Source organism: Homo sapiens, chromosome 1 (assembly GCF_000001405.40).
Source record: "Homo sapiens chromosome 1, GRCh38.p14 Primary Assembly".
NCBI lineage: Eukaryota > Metazoa > Chordata > Mammalia > Primates > Hominidae > Homo > Homo sapiens.
Genome location: NC_000001.11, coordinates 143,785,339 through 143,805,769, shown reverse-complemented (window position 1 = coordinate 143,805,769; position 20,431 = coordinate 143,785,339). Strand labels below are relative to the sequence as shown.

The window sequence follows — 20,431 nt, the reverse complement described above, 5'->3', positions numbered from 1 at the left end:
GCTTGTTGTGGTGATGTATTGGAAGTAAAAGCTAACACACTAACCCTTGTTGGGGGCTGAGGGTACGGAATTCTCAGGAAACTTATCTCATGGACTAGCACTAAGCCCTTTGGTAGCAGGGTTTTTGAATTCAGTGGTCCAGTTTAGGATGCAGTCCAGTAGATGGTGCTTAAGAGTCAGGGCTGTTACGTAGGCTGGTGTCCAGTGGAAAAACCTGCCCTGACAGGATGGTGGGAAAGAGATCATGTCGGGGTGTGCTGAGGTCTCAGGGGAAGGGGCAGAGGTGCACTAGCTCCTCCTCCTGAGTAGGCAAGAATGTGATCCGCTTCCCTATCATGCCCTGTCACAGAGCTCACAACCTTCATTTTATAAAGACTTTGTCCTTTGGTTCCTGGCTGTGGTGCAGCTGAAGTCTGTGGATATGGCACTCTGACAGCTACCACTAAAATGGGGTTTAGGGCAAAGCCTCTTCCCCGAGTCCAGGGCAGGCAACTCCATGGTCTGTCCTCCATTGCCAGGGCACTGCAGCTCTGTATAGGGAGGGAGAGTTGGGCCCGTCCTTCCTGAAAGCCCAAGCAGCACAGGCTCACTTTCAGCCTGGGTGGTGCCACCATGAATAACGTGCATAATGTTCTCTCCTGGTGCACACTCACTGGGTCCTGGAGAAAAGAACCACTGCTATGTCTGCAGCCATATACGGGGTAGGAGAGAGATGATCCCTGCTTTTCCTGCTTTTCCACGCCTGTTCCTGGGTGTCAATGCTGCCCCCTTCTGCGATTGGTGCCATGCCAGTGTTTTCTTTGTCCCTAGGAGGGCTTTGGGACAGTGAGCAAACAATTGTTCTGATAAACGCAATTTAACCCGCGACCCTTGGCTCGCTCAGGTCGTGGGGTTGGGCCGCCTTTGCGCTTTTCCTTCGGATCTGCCCTTCTTCTGGGTTTGTTCTCTCGAGCTAGGGGAAGGCCTGGGTCCCCTCTCTTTGGCTCCTCTTGCCGTATCAGAAACCTCACACTCCTTCCTTTTCCAGAGAAGCTTCAGAGTGCTTTGTTGGGTTTGCTGGAACTCGGCAGGGCGCAAGTATGTGGGGATGCGCGCTGTGAGTCTCTGTTTCCTCCGCTGTGACGGCTCTTCCCGCTCCTGTAGGAAAAGGCAATGCCCCTTTTGTCTTGTCTATGTGGGACTCCAAAGGGTCCAGACGAGACAGAAAGGGGGCGAATCCTCTCAGAGTGGGCAGGGGAGGAGATACAATATGGGAATGGGGCGGTAGAGGGGTGGGATTTCATGAAATTTCCTGATTTAAGGCGATCATGAAGTATGCCTCTTTGGGAGGTTGGCCCTCCAGTCGCTGGTAAGGGTAACAGCCCACCAGTCTCTGGTGAGATCCAGTCGCGTCCCCCGACTGCATTTAGAGCCAAAAGCAGAACGAGGCCGGCGCTGCGGCCTGGCGTCCAGTGACCCAGCTGTCTGCATATTCCCCAGGGTGCAAACACTTGGACTTCAGGTGTGAAGGCAATGCGGTCACCACCGCAGTAAGAAAAGCAACTAGGGAAAATGGCACCTTCTTCTCCTAACTTTTTTTTGAGACTCTCGCTCTGTTGTCTAGGCTGGAGTGCAGTGGTGCGATCTTAGATTTGGAAACTATAATAGAAACGGCTGATCTAAGATTTTCATGGTTATGTTTTGCCGCGCAGGTTCCGCGTGTGGTTTCCGTAGTGTAGTGGTTATCACGTTCGCCTCACACGCGAAAGGTCCCCGGTTCGAAACTGGGCGGAAACAGAGGTTTTTTTTGTTTTGTTTTTTTTTTTTTGTTAGCCCTTAAATTTAGTGAGTTTACTCGAGGTTGGAAAACAGAAAAGTAGTTGAACCTGTGACTACATTTTAGACCTCATCAATCTATACAGATTGTCGACCAGGCTACAATTTCCACTGGTCTGCCAGGAAGAGGACGTCACAGCAGGCCTGCTTAATATTAACTTTGGTTCCAGCAATTCCTTAAGGTTCTCTTCATTCTCTTTATCGCCTGAATTTTCACAGGCAGACACCGAAAGTGGATGACATGTTAGCGCATTTCCTAAGGGTCCAGCTTGGCTTCGCTTTACTCTGATACAGTTGCAGATCTGGCTGATTTGCGAGACAACAAAAACAAAATGTTTTTTAAAAACGTTCCAAATCTGCATCTGGAACTCATGGAGTCAATATTCCGAAATCACACGAATTATGTACATACATTTGCATGCATACCCCTTCCCCAAATAATCCTCAGAAAACCGGTAAGCGTCCAAACTACTCTCCGGAGGCTTAGGTAATCAACAATTTAATAAATACAATTGCTAATGTATGGTGTACAGATCCTGTATTGCCCACCCTTCTCTATTGCTTTGTCCCCGCGCGCCCTCTGTTTTGCCTAAATGGGTTCCAGGCCATAGCCACCGACTCTCGCTTTGCCTTCTGGCCTCTCGGCAGTGCGCTTCAGCACCATTGCGCCAGGTGACGCTGCTGAGAACAGCTGAGTGGCCGGCACTAGTGCAGCTGGAAGCCAAGGCCCAGAATTCTCAGGAATCTGCACTTTACCCAGGCGAAAAGCCCAAGGGCTCTCCCCACAGCTTCCCAACATCCCTCTACAGAGTTTTTAAATATTAGACTTATTAACCTGTAGAGATGGAGAGAATCAAAGAAATCACAAGGTATCTCTGAGGGAAAAAGAAGAGCACCAGCAGTAAATCACTTAAGAGTATTGAACCAGCAAGCCAGGGATAGGAGAATGGAATGGAAACTGACAGGATGACTGCAGAGGGTGGTACTGAGGGTGGATGCGAACCACTACTTACTATTAATATATTGAGCCAAGCACACTAATGGGGGCATAACCAAAATACTTAATAGGGCACTCTTTTACCCACCATGTGTTTTACAATATAGTTGCTAAAGGATGTATCACCCTACTGGTTCTAGAAGCTTCTGGAGCCAAGGAGCCAGAGCATGAGAGCATAAAAATCCTGTCAATTGAAGCCTTGGGCTCTACACTGCTAAGCCTGGCCCAGAGGCTGGATTGCAAATGCAGGTGCTAGTGTAATGGAATGGATGTTTGTGTTCCCTTCATATTATATATTGAAGCCTTAACCCCCAATGTGAAGGTATTTTGGAGGTAGGGCCTTTGGGAGGTAATCAGGTTTAGATGAGGTCATGACCATGGGATCTCCATGATGAGATCAGTGTCATTATAAGAAACAGAAGAAAGACGAAAGTGCTCTCTTTCTCTCCACCATGCGAGGACAGAAGGAGAATGTAGCAGTCTGCAAGCCAGGGAGAGAGCCCTCACCAAGGAGGTGAATCCGCTGGCAGTTTGATCTTGGACTTCTCAGCCTCTCAAACTGTGAGAAAGAAATTCCTCGTGTTTAAGCCACCCAGTCTGTGGTATTTTGTTATGGAAGCCTGAGTTAAGACAGCTGGTTCACTGGGGAATCCACTGGTGTGAACCTGTGAAAAGTTTGTGACATGTGAAGTAGTTTGCTGCTCCTGGATTTGAGTATTGGCAAGAGCTGTTAGAATGATGAGCATAGAGTGAAGAAGGGTACAGAGAATATGGTATTAATCATTGTACTGAAGAAATAAAGGGACATTATATGGTTCTAGGCTGAAGTTATGTGCAGATTTAAGCTGTGGAAGGGTCACTCAGCATACAGTGTGGCAAGTGAGTGGTGCATACTACACTGGCTGTAGGGAGTCCAGTTTTTTTTTGTTGTTGTTGTTGTTGTTTTTTTTTTTGAGGTGGAGTCTTGCTTTTTCACCCAGGCTGGAGTGCAGTTGTGTGGTCTTGGCTCATTGCAACCTCTGCCTCCTGGGTTCAAGCGATTCTCCTGCTTCAGCCTCTCGAGTAGCTGGGACTACAGATGGGTGCCACCACGCCTGGCTAATTTTTTTTTTTTTTGTAGTTTTAGTAGAGATGGGGTTTCACCATGTTAGTCAGGATGGTCTCAATCTTCTGACTTCGTGATCCGCCTGCCTTGGCCTTCCAAAGTGCTGGGGTTACAGGCTTGAGCCACCGCACCTGGCCAGGAGTCCAGTTTTTTGTCTGCTTATGTTAATGGATGCAAGAGCCGATAGATGGAAAAGTGTGGTAATAAAGTGGCAGTAAGCTTGTGGAGTATCCAATAAACTTAAACGCTATTTTTTTTGAATTGAACTGAAATTGTTGTGTTATGAAAATGAGAGAGTTTATCCAAAGAAAGATCTGGCTTGGCAAATAGGATAGATGGTGGTGAGGATAAGTGTGCTAGGCAGGGCTAGAAACAGGTTTTAGTGATCATTGAAACACCCAGGGCAGTGCACTACTCTTTGGGAGATGCTGTGCTTGAGTCTGATCATTGGGTTTTGAGGTAGAGGGTGGTACATATTGCTGACAGGGAACTCACCGGTGTGTTGAGTTTTAGCATCTGTGACTCTGAGATGCATATGAGGCCTTTGTAAATTTAGAAGTTGAGAGTAGAAAGTACAGGTTTGTATTTTAGAAGGAGATTTGGGAATAAATGTAGCTCTGGTTGATATAGATAATATGTTAAGGTTTGTTGGCCAGAGCTGGTGTGTGTCTTGGGTGTTGGGCAAAGAACAGAGAACAGTCAAAGCTCTGTGAGGTCAATGTGAAGGGTGATTTCCTTGTTGGGCTCAAGTTTATGACCCAGCCTGGACCTAGCTTGGCTTCTCAGCTAGAGAAGAAGCATGATTCCATGTCACAACTCCTGTCTTTGAAAAAGTCATAATGACTCACAGACCCAACATGTGGGGCAAACTCTCTGAATTTTTCTCTTCAGTTTAATCTCTCCAGGGAAAATTGAGAAAAGAAATCTCTCTATTTGAACTTCATCAAAAGACTAATATGTTAATATTTTGACCATCAATATTTCCTTAAACTAGTCTACTCCTTACATAGCTAATACATCAAAGCATATTAACTTAGGAAATTGGATTCTCTCTAACAATGAAATATTGACTGCAGGCATTATTAATCTTTTTATATCACATTTCCTTTAAATGCTTTATACATCTTCAAGCAGACAAATAACAGTATTATGGTTACAAGACCGATCATTACTCTTTTGCCAAAAAAACCAGCGACAAAAGACTAACTCAGTGGACCAACCTTTGTTTCTTCATTATCTCTACCTTGATTCTGTCCTTTTATTTCCTCTTTCCTCTAATTCTAATTCTGCTTCTGCTTCTTATTTCCTCCCTGGATTAGAACTTTACTTACCTAAGCTACCAGTTAGGTTACCTTCTCAGAACCACTAAGGCAGCAGTTTGACGTTGACAATTGAAGATTTAGGATTACAAAAAAGAAACATGAATGAATTTGTGACGTTTTATTATAGGGGTATGTAATGCAGGTAGAAAGACCTTTTTCAGAGTTAAGAGTTTGATCCGACAAATGAGCTATTTTGATATTTATAACTTTGTTTAGTAAAAGTTTCCTATAAAAACATTTGGTTTGGATGAATGAGCTATTTTGATATTTATAACTTTGTTTAGCAAAAGTTTCCTATAAAAACATTTGGTTTGGATGTCTTTGTTAGCTTTGAGTCGACACTTGAAAAGGCCGCTTGGAAGTTTCTAAGTCTTTCTGGATACTCTTTCCGGTAATTCTCCAAGGGTTGCTGGGGAGAGGCACTGGTGGTTCAGTGGTAGGGTTCTCGCCTCACACGCGGGAGACCCGGGTTCAATTCCCGGTCAAGGCAAGAGGTTTTTTTGCTCTTCACTATGGCTCTTTACCCTTCTGCCCTGCAGAATTACACTGCATAACCTAATAGTGCATTTAAGGGCTTGGCCACCACAAGCTAAACTGACAACAACGCTGACCAAAGTAGCAGCAAAAGACATTCAGGAGACTAACCCGGGACCCACGCAGTTGTTGGACTCAACAAACCGCTAAGCAAAGTGGCAAGCACGTAGTGTTTCTGGTGAGTCACTGCAGTTTTGATATTGGTACCTGTTACTTTCATCTGTTCTCTGGGCGGATTCCTGCAAACCCAAGAACCATCAGTTTCCTGATTCGTGTGCTGGACCTTGGGCTTACCGCTGAGCCACTACGGAGAGGAACAAGAAATGAAGCTCCCGGAAGGAGAGAAGCTGCGGGCGGGGCAATCACCTCGGAGGTCCAAGAGGCCTCAGCGGCCCAAAGAAAGGGGAGGTGTGTGCGGGAGAATCTCAATGGAGATGAGGAGAGCAGCGGTGACTGGTCCTTGCGCAGAGTGGTCCTTGCACAGAGGTAGCCAATGGACCCTCGAGGCTGTACCCCAGACACCGCGAACCGAATTTGCTAACATCTTCAGCCACCGTGGCCTCCGCGTGTTTTGTGGGCCCATCGGTGTTCAGTGAGGGATTCCGTGTGTCTGGCAATGTGTGTCAACAGGTGTTGGCCTGAAATTTGGCCGGGCACGGTGGCTCACGCCTGTAATCCCAGCACTTTGTGAGGCCGAGGCGGATGGATCGCTTGAGGTCAAGAGTTCAAGACCAGCCTGGCTAACATGGTGAAATCCCGTCTCTACTAAAAATACAAAAATCAGCCGAATGTGGTGGCGTGCACCTGTTATTCCAGCTACTTGAGAGGCTGAGGCAGGAGAATCGCTTGAACCCGGGAGGCGGAGGTTGCAGTGAGCCAAGATCGCGCTACTGCACTCCAGCCTGGGCGACAGAGCAACTCCGTCAAAAAAAAAAAAAAAAAAAAAAAAATGGAGCGAAAGAAGGGAGAGGTGTCGATGTCGATGGGACAACGAGACTTCCCAGGAGGCTTGTTGTAGAGGCAGTGGCCAGGTCCTGAGAGATGAGATGTTTTTTAAATTATGTAGCGGAATGGGGAGAGAGTAACGGAGAAGCGCATGAAAGAGAGAAAAGCACGAAAATCTGCAGACGTTCGAGAATAAAGCAGAGAAAATAGTATGAGTGTTTTTACATAAAAAAATATAAGAAGTACAATGGTTGTCAGCAGGCTTTTTGGTCGTGTAGTGGTCAATACTTGCAGCTGTGGTTGCCGCAACCTGGGTTCTAATCTGAGTCACAGTAGTGTTTTCTCTCCTGCGATTGTAGCTAAAAGACCTGTCGTTTGCTTTGCCTTTAATCCTAGCAGCCTCCAGAGAGCGGAGTAAACCGCTGGCCCGGAAGGGCGCCAGCTTCTGGAGTTTAGCCCACAGTGCGTAAACTAGGGGGCGGCCTGGCCAAAATGAAAACTCGGACATGCTCTTTGTCTCACAATGGAGCAGAAAAAATTCCCATAGGTGAAGATGCCGCCTCTCAAGGGCCCTTTGTCTGTAGCTTCCACCGATGAAATAATACGGTTATAGTCTCATCTGGTAGAGAAAACGGCTGTATCAGTGGGATTTTTTAAAAACACAAAACGAGAACGAGCTTTTAATGAGTTTACAATAAAATCTAAACTAGTTGTCATGGTCTACACCGGCTTGCCTCCATTCCCCATCCGCTAATTTTTATGAGAACAGTAAATTATTACTATTACTATTATTTTTGAGATGTAGTCTTGTTCTGTCACCCAGGCTGGAGTGCCATGGCTCAATCTCGGCTCACTGCAACGTCCCGTTTCCCGGGTTCAAGCAATGAGAACAGTAAATAAACTACAGTTCACATAAAGTGCACAAATCTTTAGTGCAGTTCGTTTACTTTTGATGAATGTAATCACCACCCAGCTCAAGTTATAGAAAATTGCCATCATCTGAGAAAGGCCTGTTAGAGCCCCTTTCCAGGCAATTCCCACCCTGTGTCCTCTTAGTTAATCACTATTCTGATGTCTATTCCCATAGGTTACAATTGCCTGTTCTTAAAGTTCACATGAGTGAATGGACATATCTTTTGTATCTGGCCTTTTTTCTGCAGGTATGTTCATTATACTCATGAGATATATCCACGTAGTTTCATAGATCACTTCTCAATTTTGGTGTTATTGAATTCTTGTGATGAATATTCTTCTACAGGTCTTTTTGTGCACTTGAGATTCATGGAAGTACTTCAATTGCTGGGTCACGACCTGAGTACAAGTTTAACATTAGTATAAATTGCCAGTCTTCTAGAATGTTTTTTCACCAGCAATGACAGTTGAAGTGGCACCAAATTCTTGTCAGCATTTGGTGTACTAACTTTTTAAAATGTAGCTATGCTCTCAGACCAAACTGGCCAACATGGCGAAACCCCGTCTCTACTGAAAATATAAAAATTAGCCAGGCATGGTGGCATGCACCTGTAGTCCCAGCTACTCAGGAGGGGGAGGTTGCAGTGACTCAAGATTGCACCAATCGCACCATTGCACTCCAGCTTGGGTGAGAGAGACCCTGTCTCAGAGAAAAAAAAAAAAGTAGCCACACACTGGTGATTGGTTAGTGGTATCTCAGTGTGGAATTAATTTGTACTTGCCTAATGAGCAATACTATGAAGCATATTTTCTTATGGCTTCCAGCATATAAGAAATTCTCCTTTGCAAAGGCCTATTCGAATATTTTGCCCGATTTTATTTGGCTTAGCTCTATATTACTGATTTATGAAAGTTCTCTTATATATTCAGGAGTTGAGTCATTTTTCAAATAAATATATTGCAAATGACTTTTCCCAGTCAATGACTTGACTGACAACTGAAAGCTGTCAACTGAAAAATCACACAATTTATAAATTTAGAAAGGAGATTTTATTTTTTTATAAAGGGTTACAGCCTGCAAGTGGCCATTCTGACAGACGGGGAGGCATAGCTTCCTGCTGAAACCCGAAAAGTAGGTTTCCAGGGAGGGGAGGGCGAATAGTGATTTACGTTGATCTGGCTGGCCACATATACATATTCAACAGGGAATAGGGGGAGCTCTGAATATTTGTGAAGGGATCCTGCTGCATGCATGCTGAGTAAACATGCCTGTTACATGCAACCCATGTTCACTTTGGGGTGGAGACAACATTTAAATACATTATAATTAGGCCCTATGCTTCAAAAGGTGAAGCAGGGACACAAAGGCAATCAAGTGCATAGCTTCTGTAAACTGTCCAGAACCCGCCCACGGCCAGTGGTCTCTTATCAAGAGAAAACTACTGAAATCAGTCTCTTGTCCAATCAAAGCAGTAGTTACGGCTTGTGTAGGGAGGGCTCAGTCAGTTTATGGTAATAGGTGAGCTGCAAGTGCTTCAGCATTGCTTATCTCAAGGCCAGTGCTTGTTTAGCTAGAGAAAAAAAGGAAGAAGAAAAAAAAACTGGCAATTAGAACATAGTGCCTACTGCCACACACATACCACCAAATCCTGCACTCCAAGCTTCTCCTTCTGCACCCTGGACTCCCAACCTCCAGTTAGACAATCCACATCTTCCCACACCTGCCTCAGGCTCCATCAGGCCACTGTGCCTCCCATAGCAACCAGGCCAGGGGGGATCTTGATTCCTATTACGTTTCTGAAGAAGGTGGTCAGGGGGTGTGGAGGATGTAGGTGGGAGGGGGTGAGGTTGAGGGCAGAAGTACACTGTGGTCTTCTGTCTTCTACCTCATTGACCCAGGTGCTGCTCTCCCTCCGGTTGTCTGCTTTCAGCCCTTCGTGGGAAATCAGGTCTGCACCCTGATCTTCCTGACTGTCATTTTGTGAGGAACCTGAAAGGATGAGACGTCGCTCTTGTCCCACAGGTTCTGTCCAAAAGGTGCCCTCCTCTCTGCTTGCTCGGGGGCCTGCCCACTGAGCTCTGGCACTCAGGCTGGGATGCCGCCCAGTACAGAGGCTCTGCAGCCCTGCAGGGGTCTGACTGTTCCACACCAGCAGGATACAGGCCACAGGGCATGCTGTGGTGGAAAAGCATTCAGAGGTGTGGGCTGAAGGCTTCTCTTTCCACAGTCCCTTTGAAGATCCCATGGAAGTAAGCACCCCTTTGAGGAACAAGGTGGCCCAAGGCCTGGCTTCACATGCAGGCTCTTGTGTCCCAGTGGGTCCTCTCTGTGCCTGGTATAGCCGACTGCTTCACACATCTTACCCGGTTTCCTCTCCTCCACCACCCAAGCTCCTCCTCGACCCCCTTGCTCAGCTGTCCTTAGGACAGCAAGATCCCCAGCCCTTGGAAAAGCCCTATCTCCACTGCTTGGAGAGGGAGTTGGGTTCAGGTCTTCTAACCACAGAAGAACAGAGAACCTGAGGCAGGAGGGAATCCCTTCCCTTGCTGGGTCTCTTGGCACAGCCCATCTAGGGGTCTGGGTCAGGGTCCAGGTATCCTCTACCCTCCTTGAGGACCTGAGTTTTCAGGTCCCCGGGGTTTGTCAACGTAGAGTCTTTCCCACTGTTCATCTGGGAACTGTAGGAATATCCCATGGGGCCCTCTCTTACTCATTAGAGACACCCAGAAAGTACTCCTGCAGAAACTGGGTGCAGTGTACCAGACCACAATAATTCTAATTACAGGATGTGGAGGTCAGATACGTTTTGTGACTATTTTCTCTCTGTCTGTGGCTTGCTTGCCTTTTCACTTTCTTAGTGGTATCTTTTGATGAGAAGGTATGGCTAATGTTGATGAAGTCTAATTTATCATGTCTTTTATATATATTTTTTCAGTGTCCTACTTGTTGGTAGGCTAATCTTTACCTACAGAGTATCCTTGAAATGCTTTATATCTTTAACTTTTAAGTTTTGGTGTATAATGCACCTCAAATTACTTTTGTATGTAGTGTGAGGGAGAATAACATTGTTGGTCTCCCCCACCTCCATATGAAAGTCCATTAATTGAAATGATTTATTTTCTTCTATTGAACTGCTTTCATTGAAAGCTCATTTATTGACTGTATGGCTGTGGATCAGTTTCAGGTCTCTTAACTCAGTCTGTTTATCTATTTGTCCCTCCTGATGCCTTGTCTGTAATAGCTTATAGTAAGCCTTGAAGTCAGATAGTACAAGTCCTTGTTCTTTTGCACACATTGCAATAACTGGGTCTGGATTTAGTCCCGTTAGTCTGAGTGGGACTAATGCCACTATAAAAGGGACCCCAGGGAGCTCTCTCTGCCCCCTGAGGATACAATGAGAAGGTGGCAGTCTACAACCAGAAAAAAGTCCCTCATCATAACCCTACCATGTTGGCACCTTGATCTCGGACTTCCAACCTCCAGAACTGTGAGAAATAAATTTCTGTCGTGAATTAGCCACCCAGTTTATGGTATATAGTTATGGAAGCCCGAACTAAGACAGAGATGGAATCCCATGGAGGGTCTCTAATTTGCTGAGCTGGTCATCAGGTGGGATGTTGCAAGTTAGAAACAAGAAGAGCTGACATTTTGTGCATATGAAAGAAGATAGTGGACAGGCCCATTGTCGTCGGCTTTGTCCGCCTTGGCGAACTGGAGACGGAAGCTAGATTCACCTTCGACAGCCACGGGAGGACCGGGAGGACCTCCAGAGGAGGTTAGGTCGACCTCATGGTAACTTTAGATCCTGAAAACTCACAGGATTTTTCTTGTCTTCCCTTTGATCTCTCTTCCGCCTACTCAACAGGACAGGACTCACCGCCTTTCTTTCCCGTCAGAAAGGGATCCCTTCCGGACAGGACAGAAGTGAGCAGATGGTTTCCCCTACGTGTCTTTCCGGGCCTGGGCGTCTCAGGAGCTCAGGCTGACCTGAGACCTAACTCCTGGCAAGTGGGACCAGCAGGAGCCTGGAAGAGCGCGCGCACCGGGGTGGAGGTTGGGCGCCGGGGGTGGAGAACCGCAGTCAAATCCTCTTCTTCCCCGCGCACCGCGCACCTGCCCCCGGGGATGCCGAACGAATTGGCCCATAAAGCTTCTCTGCAACGGAAAGAAGCCTGAAGCTCCAGGAGGTGCGAGAGGAGCCTCGTTGAGCGAGCCCAGCCCTCTGCCCGGCTGGCCCTGGTCAACAGGCTCGGAAGAGGCCGATTTGGAGGACAGAACGGAAGACAAGACCTAAAGGTTTCGAATCTCATGATGTGGAGATGTTAAAGCCTAAATCCTAAGGTCCGACTGTGAGGGGGAGCGAGGGTGTCTCGAGCTGGATCCACCCTTGAGCCTTCACCTGGAGAGTCCTCTGCACAAGTTCAGAGAGAAGGACTACGCGCAGCAATGGTTCTCAACAGGGGGCAACTTGGCCCTCACATGCCTCTCCCAACCCCGCTGGGACACTAGGCCGCGGCTGGGGGAAGCGGGAGGGAGAATGTTATCCCCCTGGCATGTGTCTAGTCAGCGGAGGAGACAGATGCTGCTAAACACCTTGCAATCCACGGCGGGAGGGCCCCTCCCCCACCCCGAAGTAGCCATTCGGCAGAGGTGGAGAAACTCGCGTGTAGATCAATGCCCACGCACTTGGCCGACGGAAATCACGAATTGGTGACCAATTGGATCTTGGATCTGAGGAAAAAGCTCCAGCTTCAGAGGGAACTCTCGAAGTTTTGCCCAGAGCAAACGGAGGGGTTGCGTTGCCATCGCCTAAAATGGGAAAATGGCAGGCGTCACAGGTTGCAGGGGAAGGTTGGAGACCAGTTGAGTGCCCCGGAGCCTTCCTGGAAAGAGTTTCCTATCCAGCCCGTCTCGGTTTCCGCATCCGTCTGATTCCTTATGATGTTGAGGGTGCCGGGGTCTGGGTCCTTTATGATGCAGAGGGTGCCCCTGTCTCACCTCGGGCGCCTCCCCGCTCCCGCCTCCTCCTGGCAACCTGGTGGGCGGCTCCGGACCCGGCGACCCGCGACCATCTTGTCAGTTGCTGCCGCCTCGCAAAGGGCATCTCTAGGCCAGTGGTGAGCTGCGGCCGCGTGGCCGCAACTCGCTCCAGTACTCAGGACTCCCTCGTGGAGTCCTTGGTGTGTCGCCTGCAGGTTCTTTTTTTGAAGAAAGCAGGGAGTGAACGGCCTTGTGAGACGACTCCAGGAGCAAAGGGCGACTCTCACAAGACCCAAGTCCTCCTAGAGCACAGGAAAGTGTCGCTTCAGGTCGAAGAAGGGAGAGAAAGCAGCTTTCCGCATCTGCATGGTTGTCTAGTGGCTAGGATTCGGTGCTGAAAGCGCCACGGCCCGGGTTCGATTCCCGGTCAGGGAATTGTTTTGCACTGGCCGCCCTCCCGCAGAAATCTTCCTTTACCACGCTGTCAGCCGGCCTGCTCCAAGGGCCAGATGTAGAACAGCCTCCGCAGCGAGGGGCAAACCCGGGCAAAGGAGGGCAAGTCGTGGTGGGCCACCTCTCACGTTTATCTCCGTGTCTGTCATCCGCAGAAGCGGCTTTAGAGAGCGACTGAGCGTCTCGCTCAGGTGTACACAGCCGTGCAGAGAGGCCAGTCCCCGTGGAGCTGCACTTAATAAGCGCACCCTCTTTGCCGTCGCCGCCCCAGAGGTGCCTATCGGGCTGAGCTGTGAATAACTAAGAGAGAGGCCAAGCCAAGTCATGGCGTTTGTGCGTGCCCTGGACGTGGGCACCGGTCAGTCAGCGGAGCCTCCTCACCTCCGTTCGCAGCTAACATGCTCGTTAGGCCTTCGGAAGAGGCGACCGGAGGCGATGCCCGCGAAGTTGGGAGGGGAGTGAGCGGCGGGTGAGGTCCTCAAGGGCGGTCCCTTTTGCTGATTGAGCGGTAGAGGGAGGCGATGTTCGCTGACCCAACAAAGACAGCAGGTGGAGTAGGCACAAACGGAAAACTGTTGCCAGTGCCCTAAGCAGAATGCAGGTGTAAAAATCAGCACTAGGACGTCAAAGCGATGGTACCACAGTCAAATCCCACAATGTCTACACTCTACCAAGCACTTGCGCACGCTCCCCCTTTTCCATTCAGTATTCCCAAGAGGGGTTTGGAAGAACCCCGCGTCCACTGTAAGCTCAGGGGAGAGCGGGAGCCAGGGAGGTGAAGTGCACAGACTGGACAGAGGCGGCGGGCAGAACCGCGGGGGTGAGAGGGCGCGTGGTTGCGGGGCGGGAGCCACTGCTGAAAGGCGGCCTGGGTTGTCGTGTGGGGTGACTGTCGGTGGAATCTTTGGCAGAGAGTGGTTTGGAAGAATGGCGAAGGGGGCAGTGGGTAGGGTGGTGAACCTGAGCGTCCGACCAGGGCGAGGACGCTGTGCTGTCCCTGCAGGGCATGCGCTCATTCCCACTTACCTGGCAGGAAAGAGACCGTGGTCACGAAGGGGGTTCTCCCAGAGTGAAGCTTCTTCATCGCACTCTAGAGTTGCTGATCTCTGTGATTTCTTCAATGTGGGAAACGGTGTTTGTGCTAGAAGAGGGCTGCGCTCTCTACCTAACATAAACGGGGTTCAAAACTGACATCGCCTCACGCCTACCCGAAAACGTTTACGTGGCTTCCTTGTCTCTTTGTTTTTTCTGTCCTAAAGTCGCCTTATCCTCACACCCCCTCATGTTTTTCTTCCACACTCGAGAGTGTCTCTCCGTCTCATTAAAAGCCCCACCAAATATTTGAAATATCTCAACCAGAAAGGCTGCAATGAATACAGTATTTCATTTGTGGAAGCTACAGACCAGCTAGGTTGAGAGTTGCTTGATATTTTCTGCTAAACCGTGAGGCATAGAGCACTTGGAAGGTTTCTCTTTGGGCCTTTGTTTGTGTACTATTGGGTTTCCTTCTTTTCCCCAGACCGTATGGCGCTGTGGGGCCAGCGGTAAACCCTGCTTTCTGGCTGCAGATAAAGGCCGCAGCTGGTGCAGGAATTAAAAGCAAACCAAAAGACTCGTGGGTTCGCCCCAGTGGGTCCAAGATAGAGTCTGACTGTACCAGGATTCAGATTAGAACAGAGGTTGCTGCAGGCACAAGGCAGGGTACTAACCACTATAGAATCCCAATGCGCCCCACACCTACTGCCCGTCGTTTTGCTTCCCCACCCCTCTTTTATTTATTTATGCATTTTTTTTGAGAGACAGAATTTCGCTTTGTCGCCCAGGCTGGAGGGCAGTGGCGCGATCTCGGCTCACTGCCACCTCTGCCTCTCAGGTTCAAGCGATTCTCCTGCCTCAGCCTCCTGAGTAGCTGGGACTACAAGCGTCGCCACCACACCCAGCTAATTTTTGTATTTTTAGTAGAGACGGGCTTTCACCATGTTGGCCCGGCTGGTCTCGAACTCCTGACTTCAAGTGAGTGATCCACCCACCTCGGCCTCCCAAAGTGCTGGGATTACAGGCGTGAGCCACTGCGCCCGGTCCCCCGATTTTTTTTTTAATGTAAAAACATTTATGCGATTTTTACGTGTTTATTCTTGGGCAGCTACAGGTTCTTGTGATTTTCCCTCACGTCTTCTCCAGTCCATTCTGATACGTGTCCCATCTTCTCTGCATCCAGCCGCTGCCCTCTGCACCGGCATCCTGGGCTGTCCCATTGTCTCGTCCTGGTCTCCCCTGCTTCTTCTCCCTCCTTCTTTTCAGGTTTTCCCTTTTGACTCCCCTGCCTCTTTCCCGCTCCCGCCCCACCAACCCCATCTACTGAAGCCGAGTTGAGTGAGGGGATAGCAAGCGGAGTAGATGATTGCCTGAAGGCGGCGCAAAAAAACAGAAAGAGCTACCTACCATGAGAGCCGTCGGGGCGTTCAGCTTCCCTTGGGCCCTACTAGGCTCAGGCTGGGGTCGCAGATCCAGGCATTTCCAGAGGCACTGGCTTCTGAAGGAGGCGAGGGTTAATGGAGGGTGAAGGCCATTCGGCCGCCCTTCTGGTTTCAGAGTCAGGCAATGCAAGCGTTTCTAACGTGCAACAACACGATTAGTCGACTCAGCCTCTCCGGTTTTCCGAAGCTTTGTAGTCTGCACAGTTGTCCTGCAGAAAGCGAATGGCAACCCCTAGAGTTTAGTGATTGCTTAATCTATGTTGAGATGAAAGCGACCAACTGAGGTTATCTCCGTGGAGCAATTGGTTAGCGCGTTCGGCTGTTAACCGGAAAGTTGGTGGTTCGAGCCTACCCAGGGACGTGCTTTTAAATGTTGGTTAGTTGTGGTCAGGCGCGGTGGCTCACGCCTATTAATCCCAACACTTTGAGAGGCCGACGTAGGGGAAGCCTCGCCTGAGCTCAGTTCAAGACCAGTGAGAATCCCATCTCATTAAAAAAAAAAAAAAAAAAAAAATTGCAGTTGTTTCTCCTCAGGCCTATCACTGTATTTAAAAAGTGAGAGATTGTTCCCTTGTGTCTTGTGCATCCTATAAGTACATAAAGCAAAAGGTCCCCCTCCAAGCCTCCTATAAAATAAGATCCCTCCAGATCAAACTAGGTTCCAGATAGGCTGGAGTGCAGTGGAACAATCTTGGCTCACTGCAACCTCTGCTTCCCGGGTTCAAGCGATTGTCCTGACTCAGACTCCTGAGTAGCAGAGATTACAGGCGTGGGCCACCACACCGGACTAATTTTTGTATTTTTAGTAGAGAGAGGGGTTCACCATATTGGCCAAGCTGGTCTCAACCACCTGACCTCAAGTGATCTGCCTGCCTCAGCTTCCCAAAGTGCTGGGATTACAGGCGTGAGCCACCACGCCCAGCTAAACAGTCAGATGTTAAAATTATATATTCGTCTATTAGATGTCATGTCTAGTTTTTTTTTTTTTTTTTTTTTGTACAACCAGATTTTCATCCGATGTCAGTTTCGTTCTGCCTGGAGGACTCCTTCAACTTTTTTTTTTTTTTGTGGTAATGGCTGGTGGTAGTGAATTTTCAGCTTTTGTAGAATTTCACATTGACTTTTCCCCTCAGTGCGGTTTTTTTTTTTTTTTTTTTTTTTTTTTTTAGAGGGAGTCTTGCTCTGTCGCCCAGGCTGGGGTGCAGTGGCACCATCTCGGCTCACTGCAAGCTCCGCCTCCCGGGTTCATGCCATTCTCCTGCCTCAGGTTCCCGATTAGCTGGGACTACAGGCGCCCGCCACCATGTCCAGCTAATTTTTATATATATATATATATATATATATATATATATATATATATATATATTTTTTTTTTTTTTTTTTTTTTTTTTTTTGTAAAGACGGGGGTCTCACTGTTTTAGCCAGGATGGGCTCTATCTCTGGACATCGTGATCCACCCGCCTCCGCCTCCCAAAGTGCTGGGATTACAGGCCTGAGCCACGGTGCCCGGCGGCTTTGTGTTTCATAATCTTTTTTTCTGCAGTGTCTAATCTGCTGTTAATTGCATCCAGTGAATTTATTATCTCAGATGTTGTAGTTTTTAATCTCCAAAGTTTGATTCTGACCATTTTTATATGTTTGATACCTCTGCTTAATTCTTTGGACCCATAGAATATTGACATAATAACGGTTTTAAAGTCCTCTGTTTTCTTTTCTTTCTTTCTTTTTTTTTTTTTTAAGACGTAGTCTCACTCTTGCTGCCTAGGCTGGAGTGCAATGGCACAATCTCAGCTCACCGCAACATCTACCTCTTGGAATTAAGCAATTCTCCTGCCTCAGCCTCCCGAGGAGCTGGGATTACAGGCATGCACCACCACGCCTGGCTAATTTTTGTATTTTTACTGGAGACGGGGTTTCATCATGTTGATGATGAAAGGTCCCAAACCTGAGACCTTTCACATGTGAAGGGAACATGTAATCACTACACTACAGAAACCCCTCACAGTTCCTGGCACAAGACATATTCCTGAAATGTTACCATCTGCTGTTTTTAACTACTAGGGTTTCCAATATAACAAATTCGACTGCTTTTCAAAATTTGAGTGATAAATACGCCAGGAAACACAATCCCTCAGGCAGACAGGCTGAACCCTCATTTACGGTTCCGCGCCTAGCCCCGAAGCCAAGACCCTAGGGACCCCCAATCTGGCTTCGGGATCCCGCATCTCATGCAGGGTTTCCAGGAACTGAGTGCCCGTGTGTGGGATTCTCCCTGCTGACTCTCTGGCTCCCAGAAGCTTCAGGAGCTGGTGGAGCCATGAGTGTCCCGTGCCACACAGGAGTGTGAACGCCGCCCCTGCAGGGCTGCTGACTGCCCCTCGGGGGCCCTTTCCCCGGCGCTGGCCATTAGGGCTCTTGGCTCTTGACAGGCGATCATGCTTCGGGTCCTCCCAGGAACCATAGGACCCTCCCTGCCTGCTCTTCCACCAGGCTGAAGGGCCTGACCCGCACGCTCTTTCCTTGCTAGCCCTTTGGCCTCAGCACCTCGAATCTTCCAGAGGGCATCCTTCACTGCCACTCTCGCTGAGTCTATTCGATTCAATGTAAGCTATATTTATCCACACGTTGAAGTTTTAGCAGGTACTATAGCAAAGGCTGTGTCTCAAGGCATTTCACTCTTTGAAAATATAGAGCATCCAACCCAGGCCAAACTGTGCTTCTTGGCCTGCACTGAATTCGTTTGAAGACCAGGGCGTGAAGTTCATAAAACACAAGGGTTTCAGAGCCATCACCACTGAAGGACACAAGAGCAGCCTATTCAGATTTCATGATCACAGGATCTCCACCTCCATCTTGAGATTTTTTTTAAAGGCAGTTTTATTGCATTCTTTCATAATACTTGAAACTTTTTATTTGCATTTTTGATGTTCCTACTCAACAGATCTTGAAGTGAATTATAACAAAGAGGTAAGGGCAGTTTTCAGAGAAAGGCAGTGTCTGTGAACTTTTCAAGTTTGTCTCACAGCAAAAGATCAACAGGCAGAATTTCCTTTTGCTGAAAGATGTTAATGTGGTTTCTAAGGTGTTCCTTAGACATGAGTGTAAAAACAAATTTGGGGAAGAAAGTGCCATTTTCTCCAGCAGTTGCTCTTCTTACTGCAGTGGTTACCATGTTTCCTTCACATCCAAAGTTCAAATGCTCCCACCCTGGGGAAAGTGACAAAATGTTCGTTGGATGCCAGGCTGCAGTGTCCAGCTTTGTTCTGCTTTGGCTCAGACTGGAGACTGGGACTGGACTGGACTATGTCTCCCTCACTAGAGACTGGGAGCCCAGTTCCAGATGAGGCAGGCATCATGGTAACTTTTGATTAGGCAATTTTGTGACATCTTTTTCTGCTTTCTTCCCTCTGAAATCTCTCTCTCTCCCTCCCCACTGACCCAGAGGAGAGGATTCACTGTCTTTCTAACTCAGAACATTCTGGGGTCCTTCCTGGACAGAAAAAAAAAGGCAATTGCCCTTTAACCTACAGGAGCAGAAAGGGCTGCAGGTAACTGGAGACCCACAAACTCACTTCGTGGGCCACTGCACATCTGTGCCTTGTGGGATCCTAGCATACCCAAAACTGTGCGGCTTGAAGCTTCTCTGCCCGCTGAACAGGAAGTATGGGGTTCCTGACTCTTCAAGAAGAGCCACACAGAGAGGTCTTAAGCATGCCTCTGGACCTTGAACACAGGCCAGAAAGAGGCTTGAAGGTGAGGGCAGAGTCAAGAAAGGGTGGAAAGACAGGCCAACCCACTCTCCCAAGGGTACCTTCTTCAGGACAGTGATTTACTCTAATTTAGTGATCAGGAAAGGAGAGGATTGTGTAGAGCAATGTCCGTACTTGAAAACATGAATTCCTACCTAGATGTGGAGTCCGAGTAAAATATCGGCATCAAAAAGAACTCTGGTTGGCTGGGCAAGGTGTCTCATGCCTGTAGTCCCAGCACTTTGGGAAGCCTAGGCAGGCTGATCCCTTGAGCTCAGGAGTTTGAGACCATTCTGGGCAAAATGGCAAAACCCTGCCTCTGTGGTGGCACACCTTTGGTCCCAACTACACCAGAGGCTGACGTGGGAGAATCACTTGAGCCCGGATGTTCGAGGCTGCAGTGAGCCGTGATCATGCTACTGCACTCCAGCCTGAGTGACAGAGCAATACCCTATCTTCAAACAATCAACAACCTGTGATTTTTTTTTCTCTGCGTATTGCAAGGATGAGAACAAAGAGCTCCAACTAAGATGGAAACGGTACAGATGCGAAAGGATTTAGGGGGAAACCTCTGGTGTTCTGTCAGGGACCACTGGCCTTTCTTGAAAGAAATTTCATCCAGGCTGTCTGGTTTCCTGCATGTGTCTCAGGCCTGCTGTTGGTGGTCCCAGGGGCTGAGTGCTTAGCCCCTTCTCAGCTTGGGTGCCTCCCCTTTTGCCTTCTCCCAGCAACCTGGTCCACTGCCATGGTTCCTGTGGCCATCTCTCCAGAGCCATGCTGTCACCTCGAAAAGGGGCATCTCTAGATCAGTTTTTTTTCACTAAATTGGAATATGAATATATTTATTAGCATGCTCACAAAATAAATGACACATTAATTAGCACTCTCCTCATATGATAAAGAATACATATGACCCACACTGTGGCAGGAAACAGGGGTAAGGGCTATCAGAGCTGGGACTAAGTGTCCACTGAAGAAATCTTGATTCACCGGAGAGAAGTTGTTTCCTTGGATTCCATCATCTCTGCTCTAGCTACCAGCCAGGTCTCCACAACCTTCCCAGAATCCTTCATTCCAGCACCAGTTCATGTTCTTTGCCCTGGCCACTCCTGACTCTTTCAAGACCTGAGTGCACTTTCCC

The 20,431-nt window shown here is 48.3% G+C and overlaps 1 long non-coding RNA gene, 2 other non-coding genes and 2 pseudogenes across 3 annotated transcripts, besides 6 other annotated features; 4 read left to right on the top strand and 1 right to left on the bottom strand.

Moving 5' to 3' along the window:
* Positions 1,380-1,589: an enhancer, noted in NCBI's record as "active region_1607". NCBI's record gives its function as "activates an Ori minimal core promoter by ATAC-STARR-seq in GM12878 lymphoblastoid cells {active_cell/tissue: GM12878}" and the evidence as "EXISTENCE:reporter gene assay evidence [ECO:0000049][PMID:35858748]".
* Positions 1,704-1,776, top strand: TRV-CAC4-1 (tRNA-Val (anticodon CAC) 4-1). Its single transcript has one exon. It is a non-coding gene; the product is annotated as a tRNA-Val (tRNA).
* Positions 1,777-5,658: 3,882 nt separating this feature from the next.
* TRV-CAC8-1 (tRNA-Val (CAC) 8-1) lies at positions 5,659-5,729 on the top strand. Its single transcript has one exon. It is a non-coding gene; the product is annotated as a tRNA-Val (tRNA).
* A 2,932-nt stretch (positions 5,730-8,661) lies between these two features.
* On the bottom strand, positions 8,662-13,275 carry LINC02591 (long intergenic non-protein coding RNA 2591). Its single transcript, NR_111933.1, has 2 exons — positions 11,509-13,275; positions 8,662-9,201 (listed from the first exon to the last, which is right to left on the bottom strand). It is a non-coding gene; the product is annotated as a long intergenic non-protein coding RNA 2591 (long non-coding RNA).
* Positions 9,228-9,728: an enhancer, noted in NCBI's record as "H3K4me1 hESC enhancer chr1:149290677-149291177 (GRCh37/hg19 assembly coordinates)". NCBI's record gives its function as "activates a minimal SCP1, AML or CMV promoter by ChIP-STARR-seq in naive H9 embryonic stem cells {active_cell/tissue: H9 hESC(naive)}" and the evidence as "EXISTENCE:reporter gene assay evidence [ECO:0000049][PMID:30033119]".
* Positions 9,729-10,229: an enhancer, noted in NCBI's record as "H3K4me1 hESC enhancer chr1:149290176-149290676 (GRCh37/hg19 assembly coordinates)". NCBI's record gives its function as "activates a minimal SCP1, AML or CMV promoter by ChIP-STARR-seq in naive H9 embryonic stem cells {active_cell/tissue: H9 hESC(naive)}" and the evidence as "EXISTENCE:reporter gene assay evidence [ECO:0000049][PMID:30033119]".
* Positions 12,543-13,167: an enhancer, noted in NCBI's record as "H3K4me1 hESC enhancer chr1:149287238-149287862 (GRCh37/hg19 assembly coordinates)". NCBI's record gives its function as "activates a minimal SCP1, AML or CMV promoter by ChIP-STARR-seq in primed H9 embryonic stem cells {active_cell/tissue: H9 hESC(primed)}" and the evidence as "EXISTENCE:reporter gene assay evidence [ECO:0000049][PMID:30033119]".
* Positions 12,875-13,146, top strand: TRF-GAA9-1 (tRNA-Phe (anticodon GAA) 9-1; annotated as a pseudogene).
* Positions 13,168-13,791: an enhancer, noted in NCBI's record as "H3K27ac-H3K4me1 hESC enhancer chr1:149286614-149287237 (GRCh37/hg19 assembly coordinates)". NCBI's record gives its function as "activates a minimal SCP1, AML or CMV promoter by ChIP-STARR-seq in primed H9 embryonic stem cells {active_cell/tissue: H9 hESC(primed)}" and the evidence as "EXISTENCE:reporter gene assay evidence [ECO:0000049][PMID:30033119]".
* Positions 13,792-14,416: an enhancer, noted in NCBI's record as "H3K27ac-H3K4me1 hESC enhancer chr1:149285989-149286613 (GRCh37/hg19 assembly coordinates)". NCBI's record gives its function as "activates a minimal SCP1, AML or CMV promoter by ChIP-STARR-seq in naive H9 embryonic stem cells {active_cell/tissue: H9 hESC(naive)}" and the evidence as "EXISTENCE:reporter gene assay evidence [ECO:0000049][PMID:30033119]".
* On the top strand, positions 14,083-14,228 carry RNU1-143P (RNA, U1 small nuclear 143, pseudogene; annotated as a pseudogene).